The sequence below is a fragment of the Homo sapiens genome, chromosome 1 (genome assembly GCF_000001405.40).
Source record: "Homo sapiens chromosome 1, GRCh38.p14 Primary Assembly".
NCBI lineage: Eukaryota > Metazoa > Chordata > Mammalia > Primates > Hominidae > Homo > Homo sapiens.
Window position 1 is genome coordinate 30,671,686 of NC_000001.11, and position 20,644 is coordinate 30,692,329.

Consider the following 20,644-nt stretch of genomic DNA (forward strand, 5'->3'; position numbering starts at 1 on the left):
CAGGAGAATGGCGTGAACCCGGGAGGCGGAGCTTGCAGTGAGCCGAGATTGCACCACTGCACTCCAGCCTCGGCAACAGAGCAAGACGCTGTCTCAAAAAGAAATAAAATAAAATAAATCTCTCTCTGTCTCTCTATACACACACACACACACACACACACACACACACACACACACGGTATTTATGTACTATGGATACTACAGCATCTATAATACTATGTAGACATGTATATAGATACATATACATAGTATCTACATATGTGTGTATGTGTATATACACATGCATACACATATATGTATATATTGGTTCTATTTCTCTGGAGAGCCCTGATGAAAACAAGCACTGAGTTATATTTTATCTCTAATACTATGAACCATTGATGTTTCATTTCATAAGATATTCATATTTGTCTTAATATAGAAATATGCTCAGTATCCTGTCAGTTAAGTTACTCAGCATGTCCCTCACCAGTTCCCCAATTGAGTACAAGGCTGTTTGGTAGGAGATGCTCTTGGCGATTACCCCACCTGGCCCCGCTAAGCCTGCCCTCACCAAGGTCTCTCGCAGTCTCCTCCTGTGTCTCAGTCCACTCTTCCTCAGTCTTCTCAGCAGGACTTTCTTTCTCTGCCTATTCCTTAGGATTTAGGTTTCTCAATATTTTATCCCTCTGCATTTAGTCCATTTGTCAGGCATTAAGGCCCATCATGATTCGGCCCTGATGTACTTCTCCAGCCTCGCTTCTAAGCAATCCCCTGAGCACGTGTCCTTAGCCAAATGCACTCACAGTCAGATAACCACAAACCCTTTCTGAGCACCTGCTATAAGACAAGTCTCGACCCATTTGCCCTTTCCAGAAGATGCTGTGTAGTTTCCTGCCCCCATGCCTCATTTTCACCCTGCTATTCCCTTTCCAGGCTTCGCTTTCTCCCCACTCCTTTCTTTACTTGGAAAACTCCCATCCATCCTTCAAAGCCCAGCTCAGATGTCCCACCTGAACTTCTGTTCTTGGCAGTGTGGTCAACCAGATACCCTAAACAACTCTCCCCATGCAAACAACCTCAATGCTGGATAAAGTTCTTTTTAATCCTTTTAAAGGCATCAATGAACTGGCACAAAATTATGAAATCCAAAGAGGCCAAAAACAAAGAGACAGAAGGATTCCTAGGCAGTGAGAAGCACCCAAACTAGCATTTTTCCCCAAAGTTTCACAAAACCCTGGAGACATTCATAGGAGATAAAGCCCAGAGCCAACCACGGTGATAGGCCTAATAGAAGAGTCCAGCATAAAATGAGAACCCCAAAGGACTATACCCTTTGTGAATGGCTGAATAATAAATAAACATGCTGTAAAGAGAGGAGCAACAAGAAAACATGTCTGTCCCAAACTCAGCGCCAGGTGAACAGAGGAAATACTGTGAAAACAAATTGTAACTATTTCTTATGGATTTGGAGTCAAATTTATGATATACATGACCAAAACTTCAAATAGAACATTTAATAAAAAGTGATTCTGGACTGGGTGTGGTGGCTCATGCCTGTAATCCCGGCACTTTGGGAGGCCAAGACAGGAGGATCACAAAGTCAGGAGATCGAGACCATCTTGGCCAACATGGTGAAACCCCACCTCTACTAAAAATACAAAAATTAGCTGGGTGTGGTGGTACTTGCCTGTAATCCCAGCTACTCAGGAGGCTGAGGCAGGAGAATGGCTTGAACCCAGGAGGCAGTGAGCCGAGCTCACATCACTGCACTTCAGCCTGGAGACAGAGTGAGACTCCGTCTTAAAAAAAAAGAGTGATTCTGAGTTGCTAGTGGTCCCAAGTGATGAGAAGCAACCAATACAAGTTGAAAGAATGCAACCTCTAAGGAACATGAGCTCACAGAACACACAAGAAAACAAAGCACCATGAGTGAGAGCCCACAGAAACTGCAGACAACAAAATCAGACCCATGACGGCTCCAGATGTTAGACTTATTAGCCATGAGCTATAAAAGAGCTATATCTAATATATATAATGCAATAAAAGAGAAGATTGAAAATATAAGCAAGGAATAAGAGACTATAGAAAAATGACTAAGCAAATTTTAGAAAGAAGGAAAATGGTAGTCCAGAAACAGTTGAAGAGAATATTAGTGAACTGAAAGATATTGCTGAAGAATGTGGCACAGAAAAGTGATGAGATAAAAATACGAAAGAAAGGCTAAGAGACATGGGGAATGAGTGAGAAAACTGAATCAATAATCCCATCAGGGTTCTGAAGGGGATAACAGGAGCAAAGGAAATGAAGAAATACTTGAAGAAAATTATCCAGACTTCTTGAAAGACAACAATTTTCATCCCAAAAACATTAAATGAGATAAATAAAAAAAGAGAGCCATGCTGAAACACATATAGTAAAACTGCAGAGTACCAAAAGAAAGAGAGAAAGAAAATATTCAAAACAGCCAGAGGAAAAAGATACAGATGTCTATAAAACAAGGATGGCTGACTTCTCAACAGCAATGATGGTAGCTAGAAAAAGACAGTGAAATACTATTTTCATTGTGCTGAGAAAAATTAACTGTCAACATAGAAGGCTAGCAAACCTATCTTTTAAGAAGGAGAGAAAAATAAAGACATTTTCAGACAAGCAGAGACTGTCACCAGCAGGAAGAAAATTCTAAAACATTCCTTTTCCAGACAAAACGAAACTTACCCTCAGGAGAGGTAAACTCTAAAGGAAGTGGGTTAAGCAGAAGGAAAATAAATTCCAATATAAGGACTGACAGACAAAATGGATTGATGAGGAAATATGTGATAATCACATGGGAATTAAGCTACCATTAAATGTAAGATATAATGACAATAATGTCTAGTTTGGGAAGTTAAAAATAAACAAGAAAGAATTAAAATATGAGATAAAAATCCCAGGTAAGTTGAGAGAAGGTGATCAGAGCATTCTAGAGGACTCTTGTGTTGTTTGGGAAAAGCATACAAATACTGGTGAACGTTAAACCTTGTTAAATTAAGTAGGCATCTTAAAGCAGCTAGGATAACCACTTGGAGAATAGATAGGTCTATTCTCCTATTATCCTATAGACCGAAGTCCTGACCAGCATAAAGTACGTTCCACAAGTATCAAAGGATTTGTACACAGTCTCAGATCACAAAACGATTAGGTTACAAATGAATTTAGAAAGCAAAAAATGCTTATGTGGTTAGAAATTACAACATATTCCTCAACACTTCAAAATAAAAGTAGAAATAATAATGGAAACGTTTAAATACACAGAAAAACAATAATGTTGCTACAAAACATTAAAATTTGTTGGATGCAGTAAAAGCGATATTTAGAAGATTATAGCCCTAAATGCTCACACTAGAAAAGAAAAGCACTCAAAATCAATGAGCTAAGTGTCTAGATTAAGAAGTTAGAAAGGGAAGAACAGAACAAACCTAAAGAAATTTAAGAAAAGATGTCCTGGTGTGGTGGCTCATGCCTGTAATCCAAGCACTTTGGGAGGCCAAGGTGGGAGGATCATTTGGGACTAGGAGTTCGAGACCAGCCTGGGCAACATAACAAGACTCCATCTTGACAGAAAATTTACAAATTAGCCAGGTGTGGTGGCATGCACCTGTAGTCCCAGCTACTCAAGAAGCGGAGGCAGAAGGATTACTTGTCCCAAGGAGTTCGAGGATGCAGTGAGCTATGATCACATCACTGCACTCCAGCCTGGGTAACAGAGTGACACCCTGTCTCTTTAAAAAAAGATCTTTAGGAAGAGAAATTTGAGAGAAATCAATTATTAACAAAAATAGAAGTGAAAGTAAACACATAAAACAATTATGTGCCAAGCACCATTCTGATATGTATTAGCTCAGTTCATCTTCACAAGTATAAGGAATGCATATTGTTACTGTCCCTATTTTTATAGATGGGGAAACTAAGGCATAGAGAAGGTAAAGCAAACATACAATAGACAAGATCAACAATGCCAAAAGCTGGTTCTTGGAAAAGACTAAATAAAGAGAAGGCCCACACATGACTGAAATGAGAAAAGAAAAACATAAACAGCAAGAGAAGGCACAAAGAGACAGCATTAATAATAGGAAACAGATCATGTCATAGAAGCTACAGAGATTAAATAAATAAATAGAAACATATCCAGAACAACTTTATAACAGTACATTTGAAAGCACATGACACTGACTCATTCCTATAAAAATACGACTTATGCAAACTGACTCAAAAAGACATTTTAAAAGTTGTGCAATCATATAACCATTTAAAAAGCTGGATTAGGAATAGAAACCATCCCACAAAGACACTGGGCCCAGATGGTTTTATAATATGCTTTCTAAACACACCAGATAGAAATAAATCTAATATCTCAAACACACTTGTAGTTTATGAGGTTAAGAAAACCGTGACACCAAAGTCAGGCAAGAACAATATGAGACTGGAAAATTACAGGCCAAGTTCACTCAAGAACATAAGTATAAAAGTCCTAAACCTAATATTAGCATAAGAAATGCAGCAATGTAAGTGTATCATGACCAAGCTGGAGTTATCCCAGGAATGTAAGGTTGGTTTAATACCAGAAAATCAATGTGGATCATATTAACAGATTAAAAGAGAAAAAACATATGAACATTTTAATAGCTGCAAATAAAATTCAATATCTTTTCATGAGTAAACTCCTAACTAAGAATTAAATAGGACTTGCTTAGCTAGATGAAAAGCATCTATGAAAACCTACCTACATTGTACATTATGACACAAAGCTCATAGCTTTCCATTTGAAATCAGGAACAACACAAGGGTACCTGCTAGTATCACTGCTAGGAAAGTTAGAAAGAAAAAAATTAAAGGTATAAGGAGCAAAAAGAAACAAACCTGTCACTATTTGGTTGTCTATGTGGAAAATGTGAAATAATCTACAGATAAGTAAACAATAAAGAAGTTTAACATGTTTACTGGATACAAAATCAATATATATATTGAATTAAATTTCCATGCATCAGTAAATTTAAAAAACACCATATACAACAGAAAAAAAAAAGCAAGTATAAAATATCTAGCAATGACTCCAGTAAAAGTTACAGAAGCTGTTTCCAGAGAAAATGAATACTACGTACACAACCTGTTTAGCACAGACCTTGGCATGTTGTAGCTCTTGGTTTGTGCGTCCTTCTTTTTCCACTCCCTTACAGTTCAGGCATTTATTATTGTCAATCTGAAGTGGAAAAACACTACCAATATGTCACAATAATTTCTGTTTATCAGATGTCATTGACATCTTTACTTTAAAAAGAAAGCTTAACATTTGCTTCATACTTTTGAGTTTTCCAAACACTATCACCCTCACTGTCTTTCATAATAGCCAACATGGGCCAGGGGCTGTGGCTCACACCTGTAATCCCAACACTTTGGGAGGCCAAGGCTAGAGGATTGCTTGAGCCCAGGAGTTTGAGACCAGCCTGGGCAATATAGTGAGACCTCCAAATCTTAAAAAATATATTTTTTAAATTGCTAACAGGTGGGCATTTGAGGACACTGAGGCTCAGAAAGATGAAGTGATTTGCCAAGAGATAAACTATGCAGGCAGGATCTGAACCCAGTTCTGTCTTGTTCTAAAACTGAGTTGTTTCCACCACACCTCCTGCCCCTTGAACTGGGGCTCATTTGTTGATTAATTTCCCACATATTCATTAACACTGTGATAGAAGCTGGAGTGCAATAATGAACAAGGCGGACGTGAACTCACTTTCCTAGAGCCTAGAATCCATTGAAGGAAACAAGTTGTTAAATAATTGCCATAGAGCTAGATGATGCTGTGCTGTGGGGGCTCAGAGAAGGAGAGCAGGAAAATTTCCTGGAGGAAGGGGTATTTACTTCTAAACTGGAAAGGGAGTATGAGTCATCCTGGTAAAGAAGAATGGAGGTGAGGGTAAGGTAGAAAAGTGCAGGAAATGTTTTTCAAGCTGAAAGAACAGCATGTGCAAAGGCTGGGAGGAGGGAGTGGCCTGGGTGTGGAGTAGAAGGAAGTCTGGTGTGGCTGGAGCCTAGGCTCTGGTCAGTGAGGGATGACAGGCCAGGGACAATCCACGCAGGGCCCAGCATGGCAGGCTAAGGAGTTTGGGCTTGATCCTAAGGAAAATGGGGAGGCATTGAAGAGCTTTTAAAAGAGAGTGTCGTGTTTAATTTGGGTTTTAGAGGATAGAGTGAACCAAGTATAGAAAGATACTGAAGTCAGCACTGGGTCAGAGGAGACCCTCATACCCAGTTGTCCTGCTTTTTGCCAATCTAGAGCCCTCGTGACCTCATGAGCCCACTCCCAGTATCTGTCAGGACTCCAGGCCACAGCAACAGACCCCAGTCCAGCAGCTGAGGCCTTTAGAAGTGGGATGATTGGCCCCAGTGCTGAACAAGAGGCTCTGATGTAAAAGAAAAGTCTGCCAGAATCAGATCTTAGTGCCCCGGGATTTTCTCTCTACCCATCTTTCCTCTTTGTGTCTGGTTCTTTTTGCAAAGTGGCCTCAGTTTCTCCCACTGCACCTGGGCATGCCCCATGAGGCCAGGGCAGGTGATCCCAAGCATCTACTTTGAGCTCCATGACTCCAAAGGCAAAAGGAAGTGTCTCCCATCAACTCCAGCAGAAAATCCCAGGGAAGCCTGGATTGGCCCATCCTGAACCAGTTACTGTGGCTTAGGGATGCAGGACTCTGATTGGCCAGGCCTAGGTCACATGCCCACCCCTGTGATGTAAGTGGGCTAGAGTGGGGCGGAAGAGCTGTAATTGACCGAATAAACATGGAAAGACCATTACCAGATGAAGGAGGAGGCTCGGTAAACAGGGTGAAAATCAGCAACAAATAGCCAGCAAACACATAAAGAAAAACCAAACAGATGTTCTAGGTATAAGCACTCATTTGTTCTTTAGGACACCACTGTTATCACCTATAACAGGAACTTTCTTGGACCACTCCTGCAAGACACTGTCAGAACTCCCCTTGTGCATCCCCCTAGAATTCTGCACTTACCTTTGTCACAGCCCTTGTCAGCTGGTACAAGCGTATCTCCCACACTGAACTGCAACTCCTGAGGGCAGAGGTCTTTCTGAGCCACCAGCCTAGCATAAGGGAGGTGCTAGCAATGGCTGGTAGTTGAACAACTTAATGCACATCTTCCCCCAACTTTTCCCAGGGCTAACTAGTAGAAATGGGCTGAGAAACTACCAAAACTACCAGTCAACCTGGATCAGTCAATCCAACCACCAGTAAGTACAAGACGGAAGAGGCAGGGTATCAAATGGTGTGTGGGGCTGGCCCAATAGGTGGCCCACAGGGTTGTTCTGACAATTCTTTCCAAAGAGCCACACAGCCAAGAAATCTTACCCAGAGTTGGCAGTGTCACCAAGAGCTGTCCAAGAACATGGACACGGAGAGTTGACCATTAGGGAAAGGCCAGATCCTCAGCCATCTCGCCTCATGCTGCCTGCAGCAAACAGCAACCTGGAACTCACAACCCAGATCTTCCCCAGACTCCTCCTGTTGATGGCAGCAACAGTCCATCTAGAGCAGCCACTGCTATTACACTGGCTGCAGCAGTGAGGCACAACTGGGACTGCACACTCCATGGTGCCAGCAGGAAATGGGGACAAGTGGGAGCCTCACCCCTTCCAAGTTGGTGGGGCAGGAGCTCCCCAGATGCAGCCACAGCAGCCCAAGTTGTGGCTGCAGACCCATTGTCTCCTGCTCCATGGAGCAAGCAGGAGCCCTGCACCCCAACCCAAACTGGGCACAGCTGTAGCCACCCAAACCACAGCTATGGACCCTGGCATCCCTGCACTCTTGGGGGCCCAGGAAGGCAGCCCCTGTCCTTGCAGGGTTGGAAATGCCTGCTCCCACTGCCTGGCTTCCCCCTGCTGTCAGCACCCATTCCAATCTTAGAGCAAAGTCGGCACTAAGCCTGGGCACAGTCACAGCCCGGCTGGGTGTGCACATGCTTAGGGCAGTGCTGACATGCCAGCCCCCTGACACTTTGGCCCCCTCTGGACTTTGGGCACCAATGAGCATAGGAGGAAAGCCAATGGGGCCAGGGGTGCTGAGGGCAGCTCAGGGCTGGCCTGCAGATGCCCCCTTGGCACCTACAGCCTGGGTGCCATGAGCAGCAGCAGGAGGCAGACAGGCTCCTGGACAGAAGGTGGCAGGTCCCTGATGAGGCCCCACCTTCAATTCAGGGAAAGCCTGAATGCTGGGGGCCAGGCTGCCAGTCCCATGTACTGGAGTGAGAACTTGTGCCTTTTCCAGGTATGCCCATGGCCACCCATGGAACAACTGGCATGGACTTCCCCACCTCTGAGGCCCATAAAAGCCCTGGGCTCAGCCAGAGCTGAGCAGACATTGAGACAACCAGCTGCAGAGAGGAGCTACCCACTCCAGGGCCTCCTCTCTCCTGAGAGCTGCAGAGAATGACAGGACGACCTGCCTGCAGAGAGGAGCTACCCACTCCAGGGCATCCTCTGAGCTATTCTGTCAATCAATAAAGCTCCTCTTCACCTTGCTCACCCTCCACTTGTCCATGCATCTCATTCATCTTGGACGCAGGACAAGAACTCAGGACCTGCCAAATGACAGGGCTGAAAGAGCTATAACACAAACAGGGCTGAAACATGCCCCTTGCTCATCATGTTGCAGGTGAAGAGAAGGAGAGAAGAGCTGTGACCCTTCAGGGAGCGCAGACCTGGGAGCTCCCCAAGCCTGGGCTGTGACTCCCTCTTTGGGGCCCTGCAGTTCCTGGAGTCTCCAAGCTTCTGGGTGCCACTGTGTTCTCCAGTGGCCGCCATGGAAGCTGCTTGCGGTGTACTTGGTCCAGCTGCAGCCTTGCAGAGAGGTACCTGGAGCTCCCTGCCCCGTTGCAGCAGCCAGCGTGCCTGACTGTGCACAGTGGCCAGACCCCACACTCACTCACTCACACACCCCTCACTGCTCCATGCCTTGCTCACCCTTGGCAGGCATGGGATCCAGGCTGGAAGCGTGAGCCAAGCCGAGCCTGCCAGGCCAAGTGGGCAGAACAAGCCCAGAGGGCCCGAGCAAAACTTGGGCAAAGGAGCCACCAGCCACAGAGGTTTCCAACCAGAAAAGAGACACCCCAAGGATTCTGCAACTGTGTGGACAGGTCAGACAAAACCTGGCCTGGAAAACCCTTCAACTCAGCCATTCCACTTTTGGGTATCAACACTAGAGAAAAACTCCAGTGTGCACACAGTGAAACATGCATAGAGGTACTTATTGCAGTACTTTTTATAGAGAGGAAAAAATGAAAGGAACCTAAATATTTAACAATGGGGAAATCATTTTTTAAAAGATGACACGTCGATGCCATGGAAATGATACATGGCCTCATTAAAAAGAATGACGTAGTTATTGGCCAGGCACGGTGGCTCACGCCTGTAATCTCAACACTTTGAGAGGCTGAACCAGGCAGATCACTTGAGGTCAGGAGGTCGAGACCAGCCTGGCCAACATGGCGAAACCCTGTCTCTACTAAAAGTGTAAAAATTAGCCAGGTATGGTTGCTAGTGCCTGTAATCCCAGCTACTCAGGAGGCTGAGGCAAGAGAATCACTTGAACCCCAGGAGGCAGAGATTGCAGTGAGCCGAGATTGCACCACTGCACTCCAGCCTGGGAGACAAGAGCAAGACTCCAACTCAAAAAAAAAAAAGAAAAAAAAAAAGAAGAAGAAGAAGAAGAGGAGTGGAGTAGCTCTATATGTACTGACATGGAAATATTTCTAGGATTAGGATGTTACTAATGTAAAAACAAAAGGCAGATGCACAAAAATACATATTGCATGATATTATGTTTTTTAAAATACCCATAATAAAAATGTATACGTATGTACACATATAAATGCATAGGAATTGGGTCTATAAGGATTATATGCCACCCTGATAACAATGGCTATTATGGGGAAGGGATTCAAATATGGAGGAGGGTAGCTCAGGCAAGTTTTTATCTAAATTGTTTGACTATATGACAAAAAGAATATATGCATCTAGCACTTGAATAATCAAAATTAGGATTTGAAAAAAAGTCAGGGGATTATGTGTATTGCAGCATTGCCAGTAATAGCAGAAAGCTGAAAAACAACCTAAACATCCACTGGGAAGGAACCAGCTAAATAAATACTGGTGCCTCTGACAAAAGATTACGAGGCAGCCACTGAATAAATAGGACAGATCCAAATAGGAAAATACTCTCAAATGAAAAAGCAAGCTGCAAATGATGCTTAGGGTATGATCTCATGTTTGTGAAGGAAAGACAAGTTATTATATGCTTAGGAAAAAACAACAGATGCCAAACCACTGTGGCGGCAGAGGCGGGATGGATGAACCCTTGAAGACTCACAGAGCCAGGTTCAGTCCCTGCTCTGGAACCAGCTGGGTGGCCTTGGGGGTCACTCTAATATTCTGAGCCTCCATTACCTGTCCTTTAAAACAGGACAATGGCAGAATCTACCTTGCAGTGTTGATGACAGGACTGAAGGATCTAGTGAATCTGAAGGGGTCTACCCATGGGCATGATTCAGCGAGCTCACTCTAATTAATATCTGCAGTATCTCATCTAGGAGGTGGGTTTCGGGCTTGGGGGACAAAACACTTAAAATCCTTACACTCTTCTACACTGCTTGAATTTTAACAGGGAGCTTGCATCACTTTCATATTTTAAAAAACTAATAAAAACTAAAAAGAGAATCCAGCCCAGCAGTTGCCTGCGATTAGTCCATTCCCCTGGGTTCTCCACCCCCATTGCTGTCCTCACACAAAGTTCCCAGGCCTGCCATGCCAGCCATCCCCAACTACAACCTATGAGTGCATGTGCCTGGCCACCGCCAGCTCTCACCTCGAGAAAATTGCTTGCAAGACTGTGATTATGGAGAAGCGCAGACAAAATAAGCTGGGCCCTCAGGGAACAATGATCCCTCCCTGCTGAGGGCTTGGGACCAGGGGGATAGCCAAGAGGTGGGTGACAAGTGTTCTCCTGTCACCTGCCTGCATCCTGTGATTTAACTTCATTTTGACATTTCTCCAGCTGAGTGGCAGCTACAGCTCCAGCCCCATGAAATCAAGTGGATAAAAGCTGAAGCAAAGGGCATGAAGACCTTGACTCCCTGTCATTTTGCCACCAGCTCTGCCAGAGACAAGCTGGCACACAAAGCCACTGAAGCCAATAAGGAAATGGATCGGCACTGAAGGGAAAAAGAGAGATTGAGAATCCCGTGAAATTGCTCCTTCCTTGAGAGTCTGCTGCTGTCTCTGGTGGGAGGGGGATCAGGAAGGATCCATCCAACTGCACAGAGAAGACCTCAGGCTGCTGGCAGTGGAGTCTAGGGGCTACATGCACTGAGCACCTACTATGTGCCAGGCCAGGGCAGGCCGTAGGGATGCTGCAGTGAACAAGACAGATGAGACCCCTGCCCTCATGGCCAATCGTCATTATCATCCTAAATAATATCATTCCTTCCTTGTCTACTACATGCCTAGCCCTCCAGCTCTGTGCTAAGTGGTCCACATGCTTTTCTTTTTCCTAATTCTTGAAAATAGCTTCTGAAGTAGCATTTTATAGAAAAGGAAACAGACTCAGAAGTTTAGCATGCTGCCCACAATGAAATACTTTCTTTTCTTTCTTTCTTTTCTTTGTTTCTTTTTTTTTTTTTTTTTTTTTTTTGAGACAGGGCCTCCCTTTGTCACTCAGGCTAGAGTGCAGTGGCTCGATCATAGCTCACTGCAGCCTCAAACTCCTGAGCTCAAGGGATCCTCCCACCTCAGCATCCAAGTAGATGGGGCTACAGGTGCACACTACCACACCCTGCCAATGTTTCTTTCTTTTTGTAGAGACTGAGTCTCACTTTTTTGCCCAGGCTGGTTGAAACCCAGATGCTCTCCATTTCCAGAGCCTCCATCCACTGCGCTGCAAGGTCTGGCACCTCTCCTTCTCTGGAACTGCTCTGTGGGCCCAGGAACAGGAGTTCCAGTCCTAAGTGGGTGCTGTGTAAACCTTGTACAATTTGCTATATAGCCCCTGCCCTGCGTGCGTACTTGAGTGAGTGTCAGGGAAAAGGTAAAGGATTTTGCACTTATTCATTCGTCCACTGCACACTACTTGGCACCATGCTGAGCCTGGGGACCAGCAGGGGACAACTAGACAAGGTCCCTTCTGGAGAATGCAAGGGCTTTGGGGGAAAAACCATTATCTCCAGGCAGCCAAGACAAATCCAAGGGGGTCAATGCTATCGTGCAGCCCCCAGCTCCACTACAGTGGCCAGTCACAGAGACCTTCGTCACCACCCTTCCTGGGAGTGCAGGAGGATTCCCAGGGGGGATCAGGGACAAAGGCCACCTCCATCCCTACTGGTACAGGCCCTACTGACTCTTTCTTTCTTTACAAAGTGACAACTTCACAACATTTCAACTTTAGAAAGTTCTCGGTCTTCAGTACCCACCAAATATGTTGAATAATACTCTGTAAGGTTGGGTTGTTGTTTCTGTAGTTTCCTATAGTTAGTTTGTTTGTTTGTTTGTTTGTTTGTTTGTTTGGTCTTGTTTTGTTTTGTTTTTTGTTTTGTTTTTTCCAACCACCTGCCCTGACATCATGTCCACATGACCTGAATTCAAGGGAGTAGCCCTTTCCCTCCCATCTCTGCTCCATCCACCCACACATGGCTGGCTGCTCACTTAATTCCCCTGGAGCCCACACAGTAAGCCTCGCACCCCACCCAAGACTGTGCTGGGCCCTGGACGGCCAAGGGTCTGAGCCCCTCAGCTCTGCATCCTTGGAGAACAAACACCACCAGAGGGACCTACAGCTTCTGACCACCCCCCTTCATCTCTCACGTCCCACCTGGAGGACTTGGGCTCTGTCACATCAGGCAAGCCCCTGCCTCAATCTGGGCCTCAGTTTTCCCATCCGTTGAGTGAGGTCCAGACAGGGGAGTCAGCCAAACACCAACACCTTTCATTACCCACTGTGAAGAGCTCAACTCCTTGACTCACCATGGGCCCCACTTGGACAGTGCATCCTCCATCTGTGTTCCCAGCACAAGGCCTGGCACACAGCAGGGCAGCATGGTGCATGGTTCTGAGGATGAACCTGGAGTCAGACAGGCTGGGCTCAAGTCCTGGCTTTGCTACCCATGTGGTCTGGCGCTTTGCTTCTAAGGGTCTCAGATCCCTCATCTGTAACAAGGTGACAGCACTGTCACCTCTGCCAGGGGCTGTTGTGGGGATCAAATGCGACAGCGGGTGAGAGGCTCTCAGCACGGGGCCCACACACACTGGGTGCTCAATTAATGTTAACAGCTGTTAATAATATTAAATAACTTCCGACTTCCCCCACGGTGGGCGCCTCCCGGGCCCAGCAGCCTCTTGGCTGGGAAAGAGACAGACGGGGGCCCCCTTCCCCGGGAACTGACTTTCCAGTGGGAACAAGGACGACCGTCGAGGAACCCGACAAATGAATTAAACCAGCACCAGCGTGATGAGCAAAGCGGAGAAGGAAAGAGGGCGCTGTGAGGAGAGCGAGGCTCCTCCGGGAAAGCTCCTTCTGCTCCAGGTGACAGCGGAGAGAGATGCCACCGCGCGGCGACCGGCAGGGCCGCGTCCCCTCTGCGTCCTAGCACAGCGACGCCCCGCCCGCCACCCGCCCTACGTCACCCACAGCCCCCGACACCGCCCCCTCCCCCGGCCCTGGGCTTCCAGTCCCTGACAGTCCCTGGGACGCCGCCCCACAACGCCCGCCCTCTCTGGACCCTAGGACGGCCCCGGGCACCTGCATATGATGTGTGGCCACGCCCCCGCCACAGCTAATTGGACCGGGGTGGACACCTGAACCCAGTCGGACCAATCAACTCCTGGGTTGCCCCGAGACCCGGACCGGGCCCTGTCCACAGGCTGGACCTGAGCGAGGGAAGGCGGGAGACGGAGGGCTGGAGGCGGAGGGCGGGAGGCGGAAGGCTGGCCCTGAGCTGGGACCCGAGAGGGAGAAAGGGCAGTCCCCTCCCTCAGGTCCTGCTGCCCTCCCCACCTCACCTCTCCTGGGAGTCAGGTCCCAGCTGTGACTTAAGCCAGTACCAGTGGGTTTCAGTGCCTCCCAGCAGAGCGCCCCATTCGCTTCCCCTGCTCCTCGCAAGCAAACCAGTGTCCTCCCCTCCCCAGCTCCTCTGCACCCCTCTGGGCCCCTGCCCTGTCTTCTCTGGGGCCACTACTGGACCCAAGCTTCCCAGGGGCCGGGCTTCTGGTGTTCTGGAGGAATGAGTGAATGAATAACAAAGCCTCGGAGCCGCCCCCAACAATGGAAAGACCCAGGGCCGAGTGGCAGGCAGAGCTGGACTTAGGTCCTCCTCTGCTCCTCTCGACCTCCCTGAGCCCCCACCTCCTCACCTGCAGCCGAGCGGGGTGGCCACCCAGTTAGTGCCAGCTGCGTGAGTGCTATGCCTTACGCATTTTATAAATTTCTTTTCGGTAAGAGATTGCAGACCTAGGCTCAGCTTCCTCCTCCCTGAATATCTTGAAATGCACCCCCGCCAGGAGCTATAGGTGGTGGGGGCAGCCAGGAGACAGGGTCCTTCCCAGCTCAGGCTGCGGAGGGAGTGGAGGCCCAGCAGGTGCGAAGCCACTAAGGCCAGTCTTGGTTAGCCATGAATGTGGGCCTCGTTCCTCAGGGGAGAGGAGCTGAAGTCAAGAGCCCCTAGGTCCTGCACTTCCCCCACCCCCACTGTTAAGAGGAGGTGGAGGTAGAGGCAGGGGCACCTGTCAGCAGGAGGGACCCTCTGGGATCCTCCATGGCTCCTAGACAGGGATGGAACGCAGGGGCTGGGGTGGGTGCTGAGGGAGAAGAGCTGTCCGCCTCCTGCCCTCCTCCCTTTCGCAGCTCTCTGCTTGCACTGGAACCTCTCAGGGTACAGCTCTGGGGGAGGAGGGAGGAGGAAAAAAAAAAGGAATGAGAGAGGGGGGAGGCTGTGGGACTTCCTTGGGGGGGCTGAAGCAGATAGTAGGGAGAGAGGAGCGGGGAATCTAAGTGCAGAGACAGCACAACCCTTTAATTTAGTGCGGCTTTTTCTAGCAGCTCATCAACTTGAGAAGAGGCTGTTTAACTGCTATTTTTGTAAATCCTGTGTGTCCAAATCTGGCCTTTTCCAGTGCTCCGATTTCAACCCCCACATCATGTACTACCTCCCCTCTGACTCCCAATACAAGTTGGAAGGGTTTATTTTTTTTCTGCATCTTTCTTTCTTGGGCAGGTCCACAGGCTGGGTCTGGGGGCTTCCAGGGAAGGGGAGGAAGCACTGGGACCCCTCCTCAGCCTCCTTTGCCTGTTTCTGTCATCACCATGTCCTCCAAATATGGGAATGCCCCAGGGCTGGGTCTTCAGATCTCTTCTTCTCTCTGTCTAGCCTTATTGCCTAGATGGCCCAAGCCAGTTTCAAGGCTTAAATAGGGACTGAGCATTGAAAACCCCCAAGTGTGTTTCTCCAGCTTGGAGCTCCAGGTACTTATATCCAACTGCCTTTTCCATGTCACCTCTCTGAGGTCTAATGGGCTTCTCAAATTCAGCATCCAAAACTTAACTCCAGACTCGCTGCTGTCCCCAGCAGTCCCCAAGACTGCTCCTCCCACAGCTGCCCCATCTCCATGAATGACACTCCATCCGTCTAGTGGCTCAGTCTAAACCTTGGAGTCCTCCTTGACACCTCACTTGCCACACCCACATTCAATCCGCCAGCAAATCCTGATGGCTTTAACTTCAAAACATGGCCAGAAACTGACCACTTCCCATGACCATGACTTCCCTGGTCCAGCCACCTGCCTCTCTCACCTGCCCACAGGGATGCCTTGCTTTATCCACGCCCACCCTCTGCAGACTCTCCTCGACCCAGCAGCCAGTCACAGTAACCCATCAATCAGAGCATGTCACTCCTCTGCTCCCAAACCACCAAGGTTCGCATCCTCATCACACTCAGGGTCAACCCAAGGGTTCTAATCGCAGACCACAAGGCTCCACAGTGCCCATCCTCCTGTCACCCCCTTTCCTCCATCTGGGTTTCTAGGGGAAGAATCAAGTGAATACAAGGGAGAGAGAACAAGAGGGAAGAAATAGAGCAAGAGTCTGATAGACCAGCCTGACTGAGTAGATGAGAGCGAGAGAGAAAGAGAAAGAGAGAGAGAGAGAGATAAGGAGCCACTCAACACCCCCCATGGGTGCATGGCCTGACCCTGGTCCTCAGGGCCTTGCACATCATGAAGTCAACACCCCAGTTTCCTGAGGACAGTGCCCTTTGCAAATTCAAAGTGAATATGCATCTCCAATGAGCCGGGGACAGTGGTGGGATATACACGCCATGGAGGGCCAAATGAGGCAGCAGGGGAGGGATCTCAGAGCCACTAAATCACAGCCGCGGGAAACTCTCCTTGGTGCTCCCAGAGATTTAGGGGCAGGGGGAAACACTGTGAGTTGAGCAGCTACTATATGCTTCCTGCCAAGCATAGCTTAATGGGGTGTGAAGAGGATTGAAGGAGTGTGTAGAGGGCTGTTGGTATCTGGTAAGCGCTCGGTGAAAGGTGGCTATTGTTACTATCTTAATAACAGCCTCCTGGGGCCAACATCATATTCCTCAAGTCACTGAAGAGACTCAAAGCAGTCAGTCCAGTCTTTCCGATTCCAGAACCTGGGCTGTTGACACTGCCTGCCAGCTCGGCATCAGCCTCCAGTTGCTTCACTATTATTTTTTAAAATCCTATGTGTCTAAATCTGGCCTTTTCCAGTGCTCAGACTCCAACCCCCACACCATGTACCTGCAGACAACTCTGTGGCCAGGAGAGATCTGGAAAGGAGCACAAAGGGCAGAGTGGTTAGATCCAGGCAGGCTGACAGCCCTTCACTGGCGTCAGTCAGCAGTGGCCAGGAAGGGACAGAAACAGGCCTGAGTAGCAGGGTAACTAGAGACCCCTTGCCTGACGGGACAAGGCCCTTCGTTTGGTTTTGGGTGGTTTTTTTGAGACAGCGGCCCAGGCTGGAGTGCAATGGTGAGATCTCAGCTCACTGCAACCTCTGCATCCCAGGTTCAAGCCATTCTCCTGGCTCAGCCTCCTGAGTAGCTGGGATTACAGGCATGCGCCACCATGCCCGGCTAATTTTTGTATTTTTAGGAGAGATGAGGTTACGCCATGTCGGCCTAGCTGGTCTCGAACTCCTGACCTCAAATGATCTGATGAGTCAAGGCCCTTCTTAACCTAGCCTTCCCCAGCCCTGTGTGGCCTCCTCCCCTGAACCATACGCAGATCTTGTTTCCACTGTGCATTGCATTCTTCTCAAGATCCTTTTTCTACCTTATCCACTTGGAAAACCCCTACTGATCCAGCAAAACCCAGATTAGAGGCCTCTTCCAGAAAGCCTCCCTGCCTTCTCCCTATCCCTGTATAGTAAATCTTCTCCTCTCTTCTACTTCTGAGGTTTGCAGCATTCGAGTGGCTCTGGGGTCTTGAGGACCCAGCCCCCTTGGCATGGACACTGTCATCCTCATCCCTGCTGGGGCACCACCAGTAGGGCACCTCCAGGCACCTCTAGAGGCTTCCCGAGTAGAGATCAGTGACAGCCAGGGGGAGAACAGCACAGCCTCCACCTGGTGACCATACCTGGTGGGTTGGTTTGTGAACCCACGCGAGATACCCCAGGGACTCCCAGCTGGGGACTTTGCAAGAAATGGCTGCTCCCTCGGGTGCACCTCGGGTGCAGGAGGACCATAGCTTTGTGCAGACTAGCTTTCCTGTGACCTGCTGCATTTCCGTGCACAGGCTATTGAGATCGCTAGCTACAGCAGACCCCCAGCTGGGTGCACATGTTTCCCTGTGTGCCTCTCCCAAGAGACCTCTGCAGCCCAGAGGCGGGCTCTAACTCAGGAAGAAAGCCTGGCCCATTTTGATCCCTATCACATCTCCAGCCCTGGAACTATCAGAGCCTGCTATGGGCACACAATGGCTGGGCCTAGGGCTATTTGCATGGAAACCCACTGCACCCCACCTACCCAGATCTGTACCCGGGATCCAGACAGCTCAGCAGCATGCTTGATCTTTTTCTTCTGACAAATCACTGTGGTTTTGCTAAAGCCAAACGGTGTGGAAAGTACAATGTATGCAGGTGTCACAGGCATAAAAACCAACCTCTGGTTCTGCAGGTTTTATTGGTCTCATCCACAGTCACCCGCTGCCCCCCACCCCTAGGGATGTGTGCAAAGCCCTGGGCTTCGATTTCCAGCATAATGAACAGCTGTTTTCTCTATTTTTCCTTTCTCTCTTCTTTTCTTTGTTTTTTCCTCTTCTTTCTCTCCTTTATCCCTTGCTGCCTGTAATCTCTGAGAACAGAGAAACACGATCTCAGACTGGCGTTGCCTTCCGCTAATCAGAGCCTAATTCCTTTATCACAGAGCTCAGAGATGGAGATTTCCAAAGGAGGCAGAAAGGAAGATACTGACCATAATTAACATTTGTCTGCTTTGCAGAAAACAGGAATTATTCCAAGGTGTGGATTTCTTTTTCAGGAGTATTAGAATGAGTCACTGGGAGGCAGCCATGGATGAGTAGATACCCCAGCAGGCAGAGCAAGAATTCAGAGGAAAGGAGAAGTGCCAAGCTGAGAGGTGAGAGGGCAAACCTTGAGGCAGAATTGAAGGGGCCCCACAACAAGGGCCAGAGCCAAGCTGGACCCCCTACCAGGACAACAGGAAGCTCTGGGTCTCAGGGGAGGGGGACCTGAGGCCCTTCCTAGGTTTATCCTCGTTCACTTGAACTTTCCACCCTGCCCACCCCCAATTACACCTCTTTCATTAAGATGGCCCTGTCTGACCCAGATAGAAATGAGGGAAGATTCCCGTGTGGCCAGAGTAGAGGGCATTTTGGGGGAACAGCAGGAAATCAGGCTGAAGCTGTGATTCAGGTGAACTCAGGGGGTTATCAAATGCTGTGCCTAAGAGCTGGGTATTATGCTGAAGACAGCTGGGAGCCATTGAAGGCTGTTTGGGTGTTGGGGTTTTTTTGTGTTTTTTTTTTTTTTTTTTTTTTTTTTTTGCATTTTGTTCTGTTGTCTTCTGTTATGTCATGTTCCTTGAACCAGAAGCCATGAGTGGATTTGCCTTTACAGGCAGGCAGGCCAAGTGAGAAACTGCCTCAGTCATTAATGGAGAGGATGGTGGCCTGGTCCCAATGAACACCTGGGTTGGAGCAAAAGAGACAGATTCCATTAGGAGGCAGGAGGTGGAATGAATGGGACTTGGTGACCCAGACACAAGGAGGAGGCAAGAAAATCGGTTCATTCATTAGTGGTCACTGGACACCCACTATGCGCCCAGCCCTATGCTGAGCATCTCACCTCTGCTCCTCATCAGAGTGTGCCAGCCACTGAAAATGCTAAGTTTGGGCATCTCCAGTGATGAATCAGGGGCTTAGTGAGGTTGAGGATATGTCCAAAGTCCCCCTACAAAGCAGTAGGGCCCATGTTCAACCTGAAATGATTCAGGGAATGTTTCTGAGACAGTCTCAGGCCTCAGTGACAGATGATAGGAGTGAGGTGAGAGAGGGAAGAAGAGAGACGTGGCCCCTCCCCTCCCCCTCCTCTAATCCCAGCCTTGGGGCCTTTTTATCCGAAGACCCCACCCCCACACATATGATTCACCTCATTCCTAACAGCTGAACCCATCTGTGGGAAGAGCACTGGACACGGAGTCCAGGGGCTCAGGCTGGACCCCACCTCCATGCTTTCCTAGCTGGACGCCTTCAATTCACATTCCTTCACCTCTGGGAGCTACAGTGTCCTCCTGAGTAATGTGAGGATAACAGTATCTTCTTCCCCACACTGCTATGAGAATGAAAGGAAACCCACACTTACCAAGTCAACACAGGCTGACGCAGGAGGGTCACTCGAGCCCAGGAGGTCGAGGCTGCAGGGAGCTAGGATTGTGCCACTGCTCTCCAGCCTGGGCAACAGGCCAGGCAATGCCCCCATGCACAGGTGCCAAGTCAGTTCACACGACACCCTTAGATAATGTTGGATTTTATTAAATTCAGGCCTTCCAAGCTGTGGCACAGAACTGCACTTTGATAAACATTCATTACATGAATTAGTGTGTTAATTAATGGGTTTGAATTCTGTCTCTGTCATTAGCTGTGTGACCCCCAACTGGGGTCCTGCCCCCAGGACATCTCTGTTCCCACCTCCATTCATCTCTATAAAGTATCGTCATTCGCTCCTGAGTTCCAAATATAAAACACAGAGAAACAGACGCAGATTCAGACAGACACAAAGCCTGAAGGGCAGAAACAGAAAGAAGTGCGTCAGGGAGGAGCCAGGTGTCTCGCACTCCATGTGGCGCCAGAGCTGGAAAGGCGCAGCCGTAGCTGCTCAGCGCACCGCACCAGTAATTAAGCGGGAACTTTAGGACATGGTGCTGGAGGAGGTTTTCATTATCTCTCCTCTGAAGGTTGGGAGGTGGGGTGTCCTGCAGGAGAATGGAGCCCAGGCCCCTCAGAGGTGGAGATGAGGACGGATAGGAGGAAGGAAGCCCAGAGGGAGGAGGGGAGGCTGAGACTAGCGGAGCTCACACCTTGCCA